Source organism: Homo sapiens, chromosome 2 (assembly GCF_000001405.40).
Source record: "Homo sapiens chromosome 2, GRCh38.p14 Primary Assembly".
Lineage (NCBI taxonomy): Eukaryota > Metazoa > Chordata > Mammalia > Primates > Hominidae > Homo > Homo sapiens.
In genome coordinates this window covers 3,020,972-3,039,272 of record NC_000002.12, presented here as the reverse complement: position 1 = coordinate 3,039,272, position 18,301 = coordinate 3,020,972, and the positions used below count along the sequence as shown (strand labels likewise).

At 47.5% G+C, this 18,301-nt stretch overlaps 1 long non-coding RNA gene across 1 annotated transcript in view, besides 2 other annotated features; it reads left to right on the top strand.

Moving 5' to 3' along the window:
- The window catches only part of LINC01250 (long intergenic non-protein coding RNA 1250), a 230,979-nt gene that overhangs the window by 86,754 nt on the left and 125,924 nt on the right, over positions 1 to 18,301 (top strand). The window lies entirely within an intron of this gene.
- Positions 4,171 to 4,718: an enhancer, noted in NCBI's record as "H3K27ac-H3K4me1 hESC enhancer chr2:3038327-3038874 (GRCh37/hg19 assembly coordinates)". NCBI's record gives its function as "activates a minimal SCP1, AML or CMV promoter by ChIP-STARR-seq in naive H9 embryonic stem cells {active_cell/tissue: H9 hESC(naive)}" and the evidence as "EXISTENCE:reporter gene assay evidence [ECO:0000049][PMID:30033119]".
- Positions 7,674 to 8,873: an enhancer, noted in NCBI's record as "BRD4-independent group 4 enhancer chr2:3034172-3035371 (GRCh37/hg19 assembly coordinates)". NCBI's record gives its function as "activates an origin of replication core promoter dependent on BRD2, P300/CBP, MED14 and CDK7 cofactors, and independent of BRD4, by STARR-seq in HCT116 cells {active_cell/tissue: HCT116}" and the evidence as "EXISTENCE:reporter gene assay evidence [ECO:0000049][PMID:35650434]".

The following is an 18,301-nucleotide window of genomic DNA, read 5'->3' as shown; positions in this document are numbered from 1 at the left end:
ATCAGGCCACCTGGTCTCCTGGGGGCTGTGAAGCTCTGAGAGCTGTTTTCTCTTAAGGGGGTTTTGGGGGGCACAGTTTGATTTAGGAGTAGAATCCTTAAGTTTTGTAGTACAGACTTTTATTTTTTGACGGAATAATTTCCACAAAGACTGTTGGCCGTGACTTCAAAATATATCTAGAATGCAAATACAGCCACTGTCAACATGTCTGTCCCTGTGGGCCTCACCTGGATGGGCTCAGCATCCTCTGTTTGTCATGTGCACTTGTGCCTCTCAGCAGCCAGAGGAGCCCATTGGAATGACACTTGGAGTGAAAGCCCACGTTCTCACACGGGCTGGGAGACCCTAAACCCTCTGTGCCCTGGTCACCCCAGGGGGTCCTCTCCTGACTGACACCCCACCAAATGCAGTGGACTCCCGGCTGTTGCCCGAACTCGGCCGTCTCTCACACCTGAGGCTGGCCCTGGTCCTGCCTCTACCTCGGGAAGCACGTCCTCCTCACCCCATGCTATGCCACAGCCTCTTCCAAGTCGTGGTTCATACCACAACCCCATTGCCACCTCCACGGGCCTGTCCGCAATGCTCCTTGCAAATTCCAACCCTCAAACCTCCTACATGACGAATCCCCCTATCCTACTCAATGATACACAGGACTTACAGAACTGACCACTTCTTAAATTTGCTATTTAATTCACTTGCTGGGTACCTAGAACATGAGTTCAAGAAGGCAGAGACGGGATTTTGCTACTTGTTCTACCCGCTACACCTACCATAAAGCCAGGCGCACAGTAGGGACTCAACAAATATCTGCCCAGTAGTTGAACAGTGGGTGATATTATTAACATGCACATTCTAGAATCAAATCAATTTAAAGGAGGTGGTATTTTGTTGTTGTTTTGCTAATAGCTAGCATGTAACTGGCACCAACTAGACTCCACGAGGTTAACCAGGCGGATTGAAAAGCCTTGATTTGGTCATCTCATGCCTCATAGCATTTTCTATTACATTTAAACATAATATCCTTCCTTTGATAAGTAAGTATCCTTAGTCAGCTGCTTTTGTGAGTATTGATCCAGATAATTTATACATTTCAATTTAATGCAACCATCTTTGATTGAATCTTTAATTTGTGCAGGCACTGCTGAAGGTGGTGGGGGAGGGTGAGGGGACACATTCATGGATCCTGACCCCCACGGAGCATCCATCGTGAGGAAAAGACTGATGTGCAAACACAAAACCATAGCACACTGGGTGAGGTCACGGAAACGCACATGGAAACAGGGCAGTGGAATGCGGAAGAGGGAGAAGTCAGCATGTTTCGACACGGAGCTTTCCAGGAGGTGTGGCGTGAAGATACCGCTGCGCCCAGCTCACAGGCTCTTGACATCACTTCTGATTTCAGCCTTTCTCGGGCACCGACTCCCTTCCTCTGAGGCCGCCTCACCCCGAGAGCACCAGCGGTCCTGACTGTCTTACCCACAGGCCGTGTTAACTCTCTTGCTCTCTGTCATAAAGCAATCAACAGGGTGCAGTGGCCTGGACCTGCTGCTGCAGTCTCTTGGGTCCCCCTAAGTTGACAACACCAGGCTAACTGGACCTGGAGAACAACAGGCAGGTGTTCTGGGGGTCCTGGTGAGACCACGCATGCCAGAGGAGCCCAGGCCGACCCTGCAAAGACTCAGACTCCCCCCATGTCAGAGCGAGGTTTCACATGCGAGGGTCCGGGACATGCTGGGACAGTCCTTTCAAGGTAAAAGACAAATTATTGTACCTTGTACCTCTTACCACTCAGAAGCACAGAACTGTCCCTGGAAATAATGATTTGACTCATCTGTGCGGAGGGCTGAAGGCTGAGGAGGCTCTGCTGCAGGGCGAGGCCACTGTGTCAGCTGTACTGACACTCAGGCCGGGACCCCGTGGACGCACCGGGGATGGGTGTAGCCTGGCAGAGAGGTTTGCTCTGGAGTGGGTCCTGTAGCAAGCCCAGGAGGGAGTCATGGCCTAGACCCCCTGGTTTTCAAAGCAGAGTTACACCTTCTGCGCCAGAGAACCATTCGCCATGGAAAAGAAGCCCCTAGCAGGCTACTGGGCTCTGGTAGATACTGAGGGCTCCCCATGGGCCAGAGAACCATTTGCCATGGAATAGATGCTCCTAGCAGGCTACTGGGCTCTGGTAGATAGTGAGGGCTCCCCATAGAATATGGGTGGCCATGGCTGGCTCTTGCCTTTGTGAGCTGGATTTTCTCAGACACAACAAGTCTAAGGGGCTAGGGGCAGCCACGATTTACCACATAGTGAATAATCTACCTTTGGGGTTGGGCCTGCGCAGGGCCATGGAGCAGAAGTGAGTTGATGGATCAGGGGGGTCAGGTCCCCGGGCTGGCGCCCGACACCTTCTCTACCAACTCACAATAGTGGTTCCATCCCAGTTCCCCATAGCCAGTGACAGGAACAGGCCCTGTTTGCAGCCGGTCACCCCAGGGATGGGGCTTGAAGCAGCACATTGGGCCTTTGCTGTGTGAAGCGAGAAGGGGCCTTCGGGAAAGGTATGCAGGATCTTGGGCAGTGATGAATGGTCCAGCTGTTTGGTCAGAGCCTGGCAGGAAGGTCAGGAAATGGAGGTGGTCTGGGAAAGGCCGCGGGGGTGCACAGCGTGCAGGTCTGTAAGTCTCACGGGACACGCACCACCCACCAGAAAGCACATTTGCTAAAGAGGCTTCGGGACTAGGGCGATGGGCCGGCCTCTGTCCGGGGCTGCCCAGTGGGCTGCCCCAAGGTGGAGGAACCAAAATGGCAGGGGTTGAGGCTGTGCCTGGCCCAACACCACGGGTCCTTCTCACCACGGCTGATCTACCCACGACTGCTGCATGCCTGGCCTGCTCATTGCAGGGATCCACAGGAGTCCTGGAGGAGGAGGCGGCGTCATCTCAACAGCACCGCGTGGGTAGAACCCTTTCCAGATTTGGGGAGGGGGAAATCAATGACTGGTTTTCACTCGAGTGTTCACATGCTCTGGATACGATATTGCCTTTTATGCTCACAGTGCCTCTGTCGGCTCACGAAGCTGAAGGGTAACAGAATGCCTGATTAACCAAAAGGTGATCTTGTTGAATGTGGGTCGGACCTAGGTGCCAATTTTGTGGTGAAGGAGGTGCAGCTGTGGGTATGTGGCCGGCATGTGGGCTTACCATACAGCCTACCACCTGGAACCACCTGGAACCAGAGAGCCTGCTTAGATGACAGAATGGGTTTTAAGGCTCAGCTAAGCGGCCACTCAGCTCTGCTTGGCGAACCCTGCTAAGCCTGTGTGAGGTACAGGTGTGGCCTGACAGGGCCTGTGATGCTTTTCAGGTGGATCGTGATTAGAAGTGCAGGGTGCAGGGAGCAGGCATGAAACCGGTGAGGGAGGGGATGAGGCGAGGGCTACTGGGGCTGGGACGTCACATGCAAAGGGCATCAGGGAGGTGACATGGGGCCTTTTGTGACAGGCTTCCTGTCTGTAGGCAGCGCTGGGCCTGCAGCGGCATGCAGGAAGGTGCAGAGGTGACTTCTGGCTTCTGCCCCCAGGCGCGGCCTCCTGACCACCTTTCACGTTCTGCTGGGAGACCTCCAACACTGTGCACCAAACACCTCACACCCTGGGACGGAGAGATGAGGCTTTATCCTTCAGGTCAGCGGCTGGTGGACAGTGACCCACCGGCCAGCGCAGCCCAGCCCAGCTTTCACAGCATTCTTGGGGAGCACAGTGAGGCTGCTGCATGCTGCTCTCATGCTGCCATGGCAGAGCTGAGTCACCGCGACGGAGACTGCAGGGTGGCAAAGCCGAAATACATCCTCTCTGGCCCTTACAGCCAGGGCTCTCGGACCCCTGCGCTGGGCAACAGGGGCCCAGTGAAAGACTTTCGGTAGGGAAGTGATAAGGTCAGGTGTATCTTTAGAAGGCCTCTGTGCCAGCATGTGTAGGAAGAAGGGGTGGCCTGGCCATGTGGGCATTGTCGGGCTGCATGCAGTAGCCCCAACAAAGGCAGTAAGGACAGGCGAAGACAGCGGCAGGGGCTGGGAGAAGACGCTGAGGACAGGAGCTGAGCAGAAGTGCTGGGAGGCGAGGTGAGGACACAGGTGCAGCCCCACACAGCGCAGGGCAGGGGTTGGGAGGAGACACTGAGGACAGGAGCTGAGCAGAGGTGCTGGGAGGCGAGGCGAGGACACAGGTGCGGCCCCACACAGTGCAGGGCAGGGGCTGGGAAGAGACACTGAGGACAGGAGCTGAGCAGAGGTGCTGGGAGGCGAGGCGAGGACCCAGGTGCAGCCCCACACAGCACAGGGCAGGGGCTGCCTAGCGGCTTCTAGTGCAGCGAGGGTTTCCCTTTGTGCTCTGACTTAAGCGACCCTGGTGCTTCCTCATTAGGGGCCTGTGGTCATTGCAGAACTTAAATCTTCATGGGCTGTTTTTGGCACAGCAATAAACGGGCTTGCCCTCTCTGTTACTTTTTCACATAGTGTCAGTAATGTGGCAAAGCACACGGCTTATGTTGGGGAGAACACAGTTTTAAGGCCCGATTATAGATTTAACACCCAATTTGAGAGTACTTTGAATGCCATGCGTGTTGGATTGCACACAGCTCAATGACATTAGGAATGGGGTTTGAGTCAGCAGGCTGGTGGGAGGCACCTGTGCTTGTCACCACGGGCAGGGATGGACACTGTGTTTCACGTCCCTGATTGCCAACGTGGACTGAGAAGTCACAGAAGGCTGGGCCAGGCGGGGCACAGAGACCTGGGAGATGCTTCTGAAATGCATTCCTGACAGCAGGTGTCCTCTGTTTATCTTTTAGTCATATACACCCCTCTTGTAAATGAGGACTCCAGGAGGAAAACAGAAAACATGTGGAAATTTCACTCAGGACTTTAGTTTGTTTCTCTCCATGATACTTGAAAGAGCAGTAGGTGTAACTTCAGTTTGATTTTGTCTCAACCTTTAAACTTGTACTTCTGCTTTGTCCTTTTTCTTTCTCATTTGTGTATGTTCTCAGCTTTTCTTATTTATAAATTATTTGATACTGTTCAACATTTAATATCATGTTAAAAAGTATCTTTGATTGCCAACTACTCTATCTCCCCTTGACCAAACTCTAATCAATTTTTAACTTCTTATTCTGTGCAAGAAGTTTCACAAGGGCAATTACAGCTGGACTTTCTACATTTAAAACAAAGAAAACTCTTGATGAATATTTCGGAATTCCTTGGCTAACTCGCAATACTCTCAAAGAAATTGCCCCATAAATTATACTAAACCATTTGAGCTTTAAAGTAAAAAAAAAAGTAAAATATACATCCTTCTCTATGGCAGCATAATTATTTGATGTGACTACTTTACATTTGATGAGGCATTAACTATTTTTCTATTAGAAGAAAATATTATCTAACCTTTTTTTGTGTGTATGGAAACTTTCTGGGACTCCAATTCTGCAGTTCTTGGGATGAGGTTACACTGTTCAACAGCTTTTGCCGTATGAGTCTCACCACACTCTTCCAGCTCTTCCACGTTCGCCTGCCTCTGCTGTGAGCTGTTCTGCCTAAGTCCAGACTCTAAATGTCGGTGTGTCTGGGACACAATCCTTCACCCTCTTTTCTATGGCACCTTCTCCTAGACGGTGTCCTGTGATCCTGTGACTGCATGTGGATGTGTGCAGATAACTCTCCAGTGTGCTTCCCCACCTCCGACCTCTCCCCTGGGTTAGGGCGTCCTCTACGGAGCACTGATCTTGTGGCTCTCTGCCTGATGTCTAGTCAGCATCTGAAAACCTCATGCCTGAACTGCTCCTCTCCAGCCCTCCATGTCTTGGCTGTTGGCGTTGTTATCCACCAAGGAGCGAGGTCAGAGGCAGGAATCATCCTTGAGTCCCTGCTCTCTTTCATCTCCATGTGAAGTTAATCCTGGTGCTCCACCTCCGACACATCCCAAACCTGACCCCTCTCCTCCGGGTGCTGCTGCCATGGCCGCTCACCTCTGTCAGCCCTGGCCTGCCCATCAGATGGCTCTCGAACGGGTTTATATTCTGTTGATTTGGGGTGGAGAGTTCTGTAGGTGTCTGTTAGGTCTGCTTGGTGCAGAGCTGAGTGCAATTCCTGGATATCCTTGTTAACTTTCTGTCTCGTTGATCTATCTAATGTTGACAGTGGGGTGTTAAAGTCTCCCATTATTATTGTGTGGGAGTCTAAGTCTTTTTGTAGGTCACTAAGGACTTGCTTTATGAATCTGGGTGCTCCTGTATTGGGTGCATATATATTTAGGATAGTTAGTTCTTCTTGTTGAATTGATCCCTTTATCATTATGTAATGGCCTTCTTTGTCTCTTTTGATCTTTGTTGGTTTGAAATCTGTTTTATCCAAGACTAGGATTGCAACCCCTGCCTTCTTTTTTTTTCCATTTGCTTGGTAGATCTTCCTCCATCCCTTTATTGTGAGCCTGTGTGTGTCTCTGCACGTGAGATGGGTTTCCTGAATACAGCATACTGGTGGGTCTTGACTCTTTATCCAATTTGCCAGTCTGTGCCTTTTAATTGGAGCATTTAGCCCATTTACATTTAAGGTTAGTATTGTTATGGGTGAATTTGATCCTGTCATGATGATGTTAGCTGGTTATTTTGCTCGTTAGTTGATGCAGTTTCTTCCTAGCCTTGATGGCCTTTACAATTTGGCATGTTTTTACAGTGGCTGGTACCAGTTGTTCCTTTCCATGTTTAGTGCTTCCTTCAGGAGCTCTTTTAGGGCAGGTCTGGTGGCGGCAAAATCTCTCAGCATTTGCTTGTCTGTAAAGGATTTTATTTCTCCTTCACTTATGAAGCTTAGTTTGGCTGGATATGCAATTCTGGGTTGAAAATTATTTTCTTTAAGAATGTTGAATATTGTCCCCCACTCTCTTCTGGCTTGTAGAGTTTCTGCTGAGAGATCAGCTGTTAGTCTGATGGGCTTCCCTTTGTGGGTAACCTGACCTTTCTCTCTGGCTGCCCTTAACATTTTTTCCTTCATTTCAACTTTGATGAATCTGACAATTATGTGTCTTGGAGTTGCTCTTCTCGAGGAGTATCTTTGTGGCGTTCTCTGTATTTCCTGAATCTGAATGTTGGCTTGCCTTGCTAGATTGGGGAAGTTCTCCTGGATAATATCCTGCAGAGTGTTTTCCAACTTGGTTCCATTCTCCCCATCACTTTCAGGTACACTAATGAGATGTAGATTTGGTCTTTTCACATAGTTCCATATTTCTTGGAGGCTTTGTTCATTTCTTTTTTCTCTAAACTTCTCTTCACGCTTCATTTCATTCATTTCATCTTCCATCGCTGATACCCTTTCTTCCAGTTGATCGCATCGGTTACTGAGGCTTGTGCATTCATCACGTAGTTCTTGTGCCATGGTTTTCAGCTCCATCAGGTCCTTTAAGGACTTCTCTGCATTGGTTATTCTAGTTATCCATTCATCTAATTTTTTTTCAAAGTTTTTAACTTCTTTGCTATTGGTTCGAACTTCCTCCTTTAGCTTGGAGTAGTTTGATCTTCTGAAGCCTTCCTCTCTCAACTCGTCAAAGTCATTCTCCATCCAGCTTTGTTCCATTGCTGGTGAGGAGCTGCGTTCCTTTGGAAGAGGAGAGGTGCTCTGATTTTTAGAGTTTCCAGTTTTTCTGCTCTGTTTTTTCCCCATCTTTGTGGTTTTATCTACCTTTGGTCTTTGATGATGGTGACGTACAGATGAGTTTTTGGTGTGGATGTCCTTTCTGTTTGTTAGTTTTCCTTCTAACAGTCAGGACTCTCAGCTGCAGGTCCGTTGGAGTTTACTGGAGGTCCACTCCAGACCCTGTTTGCCTGGGTATCAGCAGTGGTGGCTGCAGAACAGTGGATATTGGTGAACCACAAATGCTGCTGTCTGATTGTTCCTCTGGAAGTTTTATCTCAGAGGAGTACCTGGCCGTGTAAGGTGTCAGTCTGCCCCTACTGGGGGGTGCCTCCCAGTTAGGCTACTCGGGGGTCAGGCACCCACTTGAGGAGGCAGTCTGTCTGTTCTCAGATCTCAAGCTGTGTGCTGGGAGAACCACTACTCTCTTCAAAGCTGTCAGACAGGGACATTTAAGTCTGCAGAAGTTATTGCTGCCTTTTGTGTGTCTGTGCCCTGCCCCCAGAGGTGGAGCCTACAGGGGCAGGCAGGCCTCCTTGAGCTGTGGTGGGCTCCACCCAGTTCAACCTTCCCAGCTGCTTTGTTTACCTACTCAAGCCTGAGCAATGGCGGGCGCCCCTCCCCCAGCCTCGCTGCCACCTTGCCGTTTGATCTCAGACTGCTGTGCTAGCAATGAGCGAGGCTCTGTGAGTGTAGGACCCTCCGAGCCAGGTGGGGGATATAATCTCCTGGTGTGCCATTTGTTAAGCCCGTTGGAAAAGCACAGTATTAGGGTGGGCGTGACCCGATTTTCCAGGTGCCATCTGTCACCCCTTTCTTTGACTAGGAAAGGGAATTCCCTGACCCCTTCCTTGCACTTCCCGGGTGAGGCGATGCCTCGCCCTGCTTCGGCTCACGCACAGTGTGCTGCCCCCACTGTCCTGCACGCACTGTCTGGCACTCCCCAGTGAGATGAACCCGGTACCTCAGTTGGAAATGCAGAAATCACCCATCTTCTGCGTCATTCACGCTGGGAGCTGTAGACTGGAGCTGTTGCTATTCGGCTGTCTTGGCTCCACCCTCCTCCTTTAGCCATTCTTTTAGGGTAGTTCTGCTGGTGACAAATTCTTTTAGTTTTTTTTTTTCTTTTTTCTAATTTGAGACTGTCTTGATTTTCCTTCATTCCTGAAGGATATTTTTGTTGTACATAAGATTCCACGTTGACAGTTCTTTTCTTTCAGCACTTAAAACTGTGCCACTGTTTTCCAGCCTTTAGTTTCTGATGAGAAATCTGCTATCATTCAACTTGTTTTTACGATATAAGTGTAATTTATCTCTCACTGCTTTCAAGAATTCTTTTCCTTGTCTTTAGTTTTCAAAACTTTGCCTCTGATGTGTCTTGGCATGGATTTAGTTGAGTTTATCTGGCTTGAGACTTGCTCATCTTCTTCAGTCTGTAGTTTATGTCTTTTGCCAAATACGAGGTTTCACTCATTATTTCTTTGAGTACCATTTCAACCCTGCCTCTTTCTTCTCCCTCTGGGATTCCAATGACATAATTGCTAGATGTTTAGTTATAGTCTCACAGGTCTTTGAGGCACTGTTTTTTTTTTTTTTGTTTGTTTGTTTGCATTTTTTTCATTGTGGTTCAGTTGTTTAATTTCTATTATTATGTTTTTAAGTTCAACAATTCTTTCTTTTGTTCCCTTTATTCTACTTTGGAGACCATCCATTGAGTTTAAAATTTCGGTTATTGCACTTTTCGGTTTTAAATTTCTATGTAGTTCTTTATATCTTCTCTCCCTGTGTTGAGACTTTCTATTTTTTCATTTGTTTCTAGTGTTTTTATAATTGCTTGTTAATATATTTTTATCATGGGTGCTTACAATTTTTGCTAGGTAATTCCAATAGGTATATCATTTTGTTTTTTGTCTGTTCATTGTCTTTTCTCATTCAATTGAGGTATTACTGGTATTTAGTATGACAAGTGATTTTTATTGGAACCTGAACAACCTCGGTATTACAGTATAATGCTGAATCTTATTTAAACATTTTGTTTCATATTCTTTGGTGTGGAAAGAGGGTGTCGCTTCATACTGCCAAGTAGGGGTATAAGGGCGTGTTCCCCACTTGGCTTCCATTGACACCAAGGTGAGGGAACTCCCCAGTACTGCTGGGCAGAGGTGGGAGTGTTGATTTCCCAGTAGGCCCTCTTTGAAACCTCCCTGTCTGGAAGTGGTAGGACTTCCTGGTTATTGTTCTCCACCTGGCCTGGCACCATGGTGGTAGGATAAGTTTGTTATTACTGGGTGTTAGTGAATGTCCTGACTCTCCACTAGACTTCCTCTGATACCACCCTGCTGGGGGCTTGGTGCACCTTATTAAACAGCCTGGTGCGGGTGGAAGTCTGTCCTTCATGCTTGGGCTTTGCTGGCTTGTGGAGAATAGGGGAGCCACATTAGTTTTTCTGTGGTGTTTGTCTGTAATAGAGTGGTTATTTTTCAAGAGTTTCATGTCTTGCTTGGCTGCCCATTTTCTTGTCCTTTGCCTATAGAGAACAGGCTTTCATTGGGAATTAAATATATGTGCCCATTTGGTGTTTCCAAGGTTGCAGACTTCTTCAGCTCCAAGTCTTGGATATGTGAGGCAAAATGAAAACCCAGAGAACTAACCACTGTGTCAGTCTTTAGGTTCTGAGGTCCCTAGTGGATCTTTCTTCTTCCCTTCAGCTTTTAATACATTCCTTTTTGTTTTGTTTTATAAATAATTTCCAGAGTTTCATTATACTTAGTGGGCAGAATGCGGAAAAGTATGTCTACTCCATCTTCCTGGAAAAAGAACTTGGGTTGATAATTTTTGGCTACAGCTGTACTAGGCGCTCTAGAAACCTTTTCTCATTTAATTATCTCACTTCTCTGAGCCAGATGTTCTCACATTAATTCTAAAGATGAGGAGACTGAGGCTTGGTGGAGTCGAACAACTTGTTCAAGGTAAATGGTTAAAGCTAGGCTACAAACACAGGTTAGTCTGGCTATGAAATCTCTGCTGTTTTCCCTGTATTATAAAGGGAAGTTCCTTGCTTATCATTTTCGTCTGTTATGGTCTTCAGCACATAGATAATCATATAGAAGGTGCCCAGTCAGTACCGGTTGAATGAGCTTCACGTAGGAGCTAGGTTAATGCTTATTGGAGGAGCACCTCTTTTCCAGGGGGATTAGTAGTTAGTTTTTGTTCAGCTGCATGTCACTTCCAAACTGCGTAGCTTTTGCTTTTCTAGTTTCTCTGTTTATTTCAAAGGGCTCTGCCCAACTGAACATCACCATCTTCCATTCATCATCAATCTGGTGTAATTGCAAATTCCTGGAAAAGAGAAGCTTCCTGGACGATTTCTACTGCTCTCGGGGCAAAGCTGGAGTTGCATTACAATCACAAGATAGGATTTGTCCTAGGCGGGGTGCAGTGGCTCATGCCTGTAATCCCAGCACTTTGGGAGGCCGAGGCAGGTGAATAACTTGAGTTCAGGAGTTTGATACCAGCCTGGCCAACATAGTGAAATTCCATCTCTACAAAAAATACAAAAAATTAGCTGGATGTGGTGGCATGCACTTGTAGTCCCATCTACTCAGGAGGCTGAGGCAGGAGAATTGCTTGAACCCAGGAGACTGAGGTTGCAGTGAGCCGAGATCATAGCGCTGTACTCCAGCCTGGGTGACAGCAAGATTCTGTTAAAAAAAAAAAAAAAAGGATTTGTCTTGCCCTGCCTGCATTCATCCTAGAGCCCATAGGATTTCTCTTAGATAGCTCTGTGAGGACCAGGAGAAATGTGCCATACATATCTGGTGAGTGAGGAGGACTGCCTGGTGAGGTAGTCCTCTCAGCAAGAATGTTGAGTCTCTGCATTGTAGGAGAGTATGAATTCTTGTGGAGCGGGCTGCCAGGGTTCAAAGCTCAGCTCTGCCTTTATCAACAGTGAGATGTTGAGTAGATTCCTAAACCTCCATGACCCCTACTTCCTATACTGTAAAGTGGGGATAATATAATGCTATATAGTGAGAGTTAAATGAGTTAATATGCGTCAACTGCTTAAAATAGTACCGGCCACACTGTCTTCCACAATGGTCGAACTAGTTTATACTCCCACCAACAGTGTAAAAGTGTTCCTATTTCTCCACATCCTCTCCAGCACCTGTTGTTTCCTGACTTTTTAATGATTGCCATTCTAACTGGTGTGAGATGGTATCTCGTTGTGGTTTTGATTTGCATTTCTCTGATGGCCAGTGATGATGAGCATTTTTTCATGTGTCTGTTGGATGCATAAATGTCTTCTTTTGAAAAGTGTCTGTTCATATCCTTTGCCCACTTTTTGATGGGGTTGTTTGATTTTTTCTTGTAAATTTGTTTAAGTTCTTTGTAGATTCTGGATATTAGCCCTTTGTCAGATGGGTAGATTGCAAAAATGTTCTCCCATTCTGTAGGTTGCCTGTTCCCTCTGATGGTAGTTTCTTTTGCTGTGCAGAAGCTCTTTAGTTTAATTAGATCCCATTTGTCAATTTTGGCTTTTGTTGCCATTGCTTTTGGTGTTTTAGTCATGAAGTCCTTGCCCATGCCTATGTCCTAAATGGTATTGCGTAGGTTTTCTTCTAGGGTTTTTATGGTTTTAGGTCTAACATTTAAGTCTTTAATCAACCCTGTATGTTGTGCACATGTACCTAGAACTTAAAGTATAATAAAAAAAATAGTACCCGACACATGGAATATAATACATTTGAGCTGTTTTTATTGCTGTCAATATAATCAGTTAGGAAAGGTGTGACATCTATCATCTGACTCCTTCTCTCCGGGGCTCCCTGGTCATCTTTCTTCTCTTGGTCACCGTCTGCTGCAAAAGCTGCCAGGTGTCGAGCTCCTCATGCTGAGATCAGGACCCAGTTCAAGGAGAGCTGGCTGTGCTTCTGCAGCTGCCACAGCTGCTGAGCCCAGATGGAAGTCACCTTGCACTCCTGGGTGGACCCTCCCTACCCGTACTGCTTCTTTGTCCTGGACAAACCTGCACACCTCTGCCTGTCTTTGTGGGGTGCCCTCCATCACACACTAAATCACTCTCTTCTATTTCTATTTCTAGAAACCCTCCAAAATCTTCAAACCCTGACTCAGCTCCTCCTTCCAGAAGAAGGCTGAGGCTTCTGTGTCTCATACACATGTGGGGCATCTCAAAGGTGGCTGCTTCCTCTTCCCTCCTCCACATTCTTCCTGAATCCTGAGTCTCCAAGGAAGATTGCTCACTCCTCCAGGACTCCAGGGTGTTCAGGCCACATCAGTCTAGGGCTGTGTGAGTTTCCTGGAGCTGCTATAACAAGTGACCACAATCTGGGTGGCTTAAAACCACAGACTTTTATTGTCTCACAGTTCTGGAGGCTGGAAGTCCAAAATCAAGATGTTGGCAGGGCTGGTTCCCTCCGAGATCTGTGAGGAGAATCTGTCCCAGGCCTCTGCTTAGCTTCTGGTGGTTTCCTGGCAACCTTTGGCATCCTGTGGCTTCTAGATGGATCATCCAGTTCTCTGCCCTCATGTTCACATGGTGCTGTTTATGTATGTCTGTATCCAAATTTCCCTCTTCTTGTAATGACATCAGTCATATTGGATTAAGCATCCACTCTTTTCCAGTCTGACCTCATCTTAATTTAACTAATTACACCTACAAAGACTTTATTTCCAAATACAGTTACCTTCACAGGTACCAGGGGTTAGGACTTTAACATGTCTTTTTAGAGGACACAGTTAAACTTACCGTAAAGCATAATAGCAACATCTCAAACTTGGACCTCTGCTGAGTTAGAGATGTCACTCTAGGGGCAGTATGCAGAGAATTTTGGAGGGAAAAAGTGTCCTGGGAACAGGTGTGTGAATTAGGATGCTGTTAAAATGGTTACAGAAAGAGATTACATTCTGAACCAGAGTGAGGTTGGGGTAGATTATTTTGTCTCTATTTAAAATTTTGTATCTGGAAATTCAAAGGCGTTTTCAAAAATGTATTTCCCTCCTCCCCTTCGGTGCCAGGTGTCTGAGCTTTGCAAACATGGATTTTCTTGCAGCTCTTCTGCGTGTTGTTGGAGGCCAAGCTCATCAAACTGCCCATAGTGGGGACTGAGCAGCTGTGCATCGGGCTGCTGAGAGCTGAGTTTGTTTATGTAAATGTTGTTTTATTTTAGTCTTTCCAACGACTGCCATGGGGCCTAATTCTCAGCCAAGGGCTAGGAGGAAGGCCTTTATTGTTTAGATGTAGGCATTTGGGATAATGTGGGAAGCAAACTCCACCATGTAATACGTGAGCCCTTCCTGGGCAGCTCTCCTCATCCAGTGCTTCATGGAGAAGCAAGACTGTTGCCGCCTTGGGAGAGGCTGCGGTCTCATTGTGAGTCAAGCATAATTTTTCCTTTTTAATTTCCACAGCTTTATTTAGCTTTGGAAACATTCCTTTTCAATATATTATGTTATTCTGGTATATATTTCCTTCCTTTATAATAAAGCTGTGGAAATTATTCTAAGCATAGCCTACAACAAAGAAAAAATACTCAACCGCAATAATGAACCCATAGGCAATTACATTCTTATAAATTCTTGTATTCTAAATACAAGCATCTTTCCAAATTTCATATATTAAGTAGATGGGCAGGAAAAGGGTATAAAGAAATATTGTTTAAGTAAGTAAAATAAAGTTTAAGTCTACATATGTGTTGTAGTTGAAAAGGGCATTTAAGATGATTGAGAAACCTTGGTAAAAGCATTAATTCCTTGAGGAATTATTTATTGACACTGACAATGGCCAGGAAATGGCTACAGAGATGGGGAGGGGAGCAGGGCTTGGTCTGGCCGTGAGACCTCATGCGGTGAAGGCTTCCGTGATTTGTCTGCAGACGCCTGCTGCAACACTGATGCCTGACCCTACTGACTACCTGACTTCAAGTTCCCTCTTTTCCACACGATTCCCGGAAACTTTCCAACATCTTCAAGCACTGACTGAGCTCCTTGGTCCAGCAGGAGGGCGGGGTGCCTGGCGCTGACACCTGCATGAGGCCTCTTGGGGGCGGTTGCCTCTCTTCACCTCCTCTCTTGGGGGCGGTTGCCTCTCTTCCCCTCCTCTGCACCCTCCCTGTGTTCTTGGTGCCCATCTCCTAGGAAGACACTTTCCCTCAAGTGCCCTTGATCCCATTCTCTCCACCTGACATAATGCGATTTTACACAAACCTGAGCAATAAACATTTAGACGTGTACCGTCGCCCAGCAACACCAGTGGAAGATTGCCTAGTCCACCCCAACCCCTGAGGTTCAGCCTGGCTCTTGGAGTTGAGGGGATGGTATGGAGAGGCCGCTGGGGAGGGCAGGCCACGGGCAACGATGATAACAAGAAGGTCCGAGGTGTTCAGTGGGAAGAAACACGGCATATCAGTACTTTAACGTGGCTCAGAATCGCCCTTCCCAAATGTCTCCAGGTTCATAATCTCCTGTGCTGCCCAGCAACTGCTTCCTTTCTCCATCAATCATCTCTTTGCATTTTGCATCTTTGCTCACCTCCCTGGTCCTCTGCTGTGGCCATAAAATTCATCAAGCATTCCTTATTGGGAAATGCAACAACAACAAGAACAAAACCAGGAAGTGGTGACCGACTTCTCTGGGCCATCTTCCCTCTCTCCATCTTCAAGGCCTGAAGGGGACATTCTTTCCCTCTTACTCTTTCCAACTCAGTATTTCTTGAAAGAGTATCTGACTCGGGCAACCTCCTTTCCATTCTCATCCCCGCTGCCTCCTCCATCTTTTGCAGCTTGGCTCTGTCCTGTGTCCATTTTCGGTTGTCCTTCTCTCCTGAGCCCCCTCGAAACACTGTTGCGGCCCTGGGATCCTGTGCCTGAGTCAGTACAGTTGCACCCAGGGAGGTCCTGCCCTCAGCTCAGGGTGCAGCACCTGCAACACGTGCAATCCAGCTCAGGCAGATCTCTCTGCTGTGTGCTTCGTTGTACAGGGTAGGAAGTGGTTCTGGGATTTTTATACCTATGTATTGAGACATGTGCCCAGACATCCAGATCAAGTGGATTCAGGAGGAACCACATAACCACCATGAGAGATATTTTGAGGCATTGGCATGTGCCTTCTTTCTCTGCAACTTTTCTTCCCTGTCCTCCCACTCAAGCCATTGCCTGGCCCTGAGCTCATTGCATCAGGAAGGGGTGTACAGACATGGCCTGAATCCTCCTGGCCCTTCCCTCCGACTGTCTAAATCTAGATTTGGATGAAGATCCTTGGAAATAGAATATTTGGGGGCACAATCAGTGAGGAGAGAAGATTTACCCGGGCTTGGGAGATTAAATAGAAAAAAGAATGGATGAGAATTGGTATCCAGAGAGAGAAAGAGGAACTGCTCTGTCTGCTTCCAAAGCAACGCCTCTGGAGAGGGAGGGGCATTGCTTCCAGAGAGGATGGCCACTGGGAGACGGATCCAGATGGGAGGTGGCCACTTCCAACAGCTTCCTGTCCTCACTCCTGTGCTGGCACTGCAGAGACAGCCACGTGCAGTTATCAAGGCTGAGGAGGAAATGGCTTAGAGAGGACTAGGAGGACTGGCAGCCCGGATACCAATAACCCAATGCCACCCCAATGCCTTGGAATGGTGGCCTGACCCAGGAAGCGTTCACTCTAAGTTGGTCGTCAGCTTCGGGTGGGAAGTGAAAGCTTTGAAACAGGACTTAATGTAGTTAAGTTGAGAATAAGAACTGCAGCATGTATTTTATACTTGAACTTGAGAACCCAACACTCAATGAAGAGTCGTTCTCTCCTTAGGAGATGTGCTTGGACCTGTGAGGAAAGTGGCCCGTCAGCAGACACACTGTCCAGGTCCAACCTCCCCGATCATCTTGGACCTCAAAAATCGTGTCTACTAATTCCAGCATTTTCCTTCCCCAGTTCATCACGGCACGGCAGCCTGGGATGGGACCAGGAGTAGTTGGTACTCTTGGCACAACTTCAACTGCTTCTACTTTGCTAGAGTCTGACTTGTTTAGCAACAATTGAGTGACTCCTGGGTTGCAACAATGTTTCCCACTGTCTTGAGGACCAATGTCTACATTCCTGTTACAAGGCCAGAAATCTGTTTTTTTTTTTCCCCCCAGATTTGCCACTTTATGCTGCCAAGGACCATCCTAGGACTGACAGGTGCAGTGCACAGCGCATTGCGTCTTCAGCTTCTGAATCACCCACAGCCTTGGAGTGGGCCACTCTGAGCCCTGCGTGTGCCTCCTTCACATCCCAGTTTCTGTTTTGCACTGTTGTTTTTCACTTGGATGCCAATCCTGTACTCCATGCTCTTGGTTTCTGACAAGTACTATCTACCATGGGTAAATTTCTTGCCTCTTGACTTTGTTTCTGAGCCATCAAAAGGCAGAGCGTCCTTTACAGCCTGGGCAGGCCCACTGGTGGCCTGCTTAGGTCCCCAAGTGGCTGGCCCCATCTTCATCACCCTCAGTTTTCTCATGGCATGTTTTAACTTTTAACGAAATTTCCATGTGAGAGGATGTGCTTATGCTCCCTCCCTGTGGCCCACCCTTCCTTGTGAGAAGTCCTGGGAGGGCAATCTTCTGATGACCTCACATGAGACTGCGACCGCGCCTGTCCCTGTCCACCCGGAACACTCTGAGTGTGCACCACAGCTGCCCCAGGGGCTCCAGTGGCCCCTACTGGCCTCTCTTGCTCTTGGAGGGCGCTCTGGGGACCATCACTCCCTGTGCAGGACCCACTGTGCGCTGTCAGCTTCATGTTTCAGACCGGCTCAGTTCTGGATACAGCATGAGCTTCACATGCTCCTCCTGGAAACTTTCCTCTTGGAATTAGGTTCCTTCCTTTAGTCCTGCAGATTGTTCATCAGCTTCCTTTGGAGAGGAAGAAGTCAAGATCAGCCTTATGCTTTTTCCAACCCTCATCTCTGCAGGTTGATCCCTGTGCCATCTCCAGACCCTCAAACAACACTGACCCGATGCTGGGTGAGGACCAAGGACCTGGCTGGTCACTTCTCCATGTGGTTGCTGCTTCAGCAGCTCTTCCTTGAGGCACACGTCCATGCACAAGCAATGTGTGTTTTTAAAAATGAAATATTTTTAAAAACTACAAAAAATCATTGATGTTTAGGTATCCACCATTGAGATTAAGCAGGGGTTACTATTTTGACACATATTCTTTATCTCTCTAGTTTAAAGAAATTAAACAAATAAAAAAATTATAGCGCTGGGTGCGGTGGCCCACACTTGTAATCCCAGCACTTCGGAAGGCTGAGACAAATGGATTGCCTGAGGTCAGGAGTTCAAGACCAGCCTGGCCAACATGGTGAAAGCCCGCCTCTACTAAAAATAAAAAATTAGCCGAGTGTGGTGGCGTGCGCCTGTAATCCCAGCTACTTGGGAGGCTGAGGCAGGAGAATCACTTGAACCAGGGAGGTCAGAGGTTGCAGTGAGCCAAGATCATGCCATTGTACTCCAGCCTGGGCAATGAGCAACATTCCATCTCAAAAAAAAATTATAGCTACAAAGATGCTATAGTGATGGATACATGCCATTATGCACAAAGAGTGAACCCTGAAGCAAACTATGGACTTTAGTTAATAATCATGCCA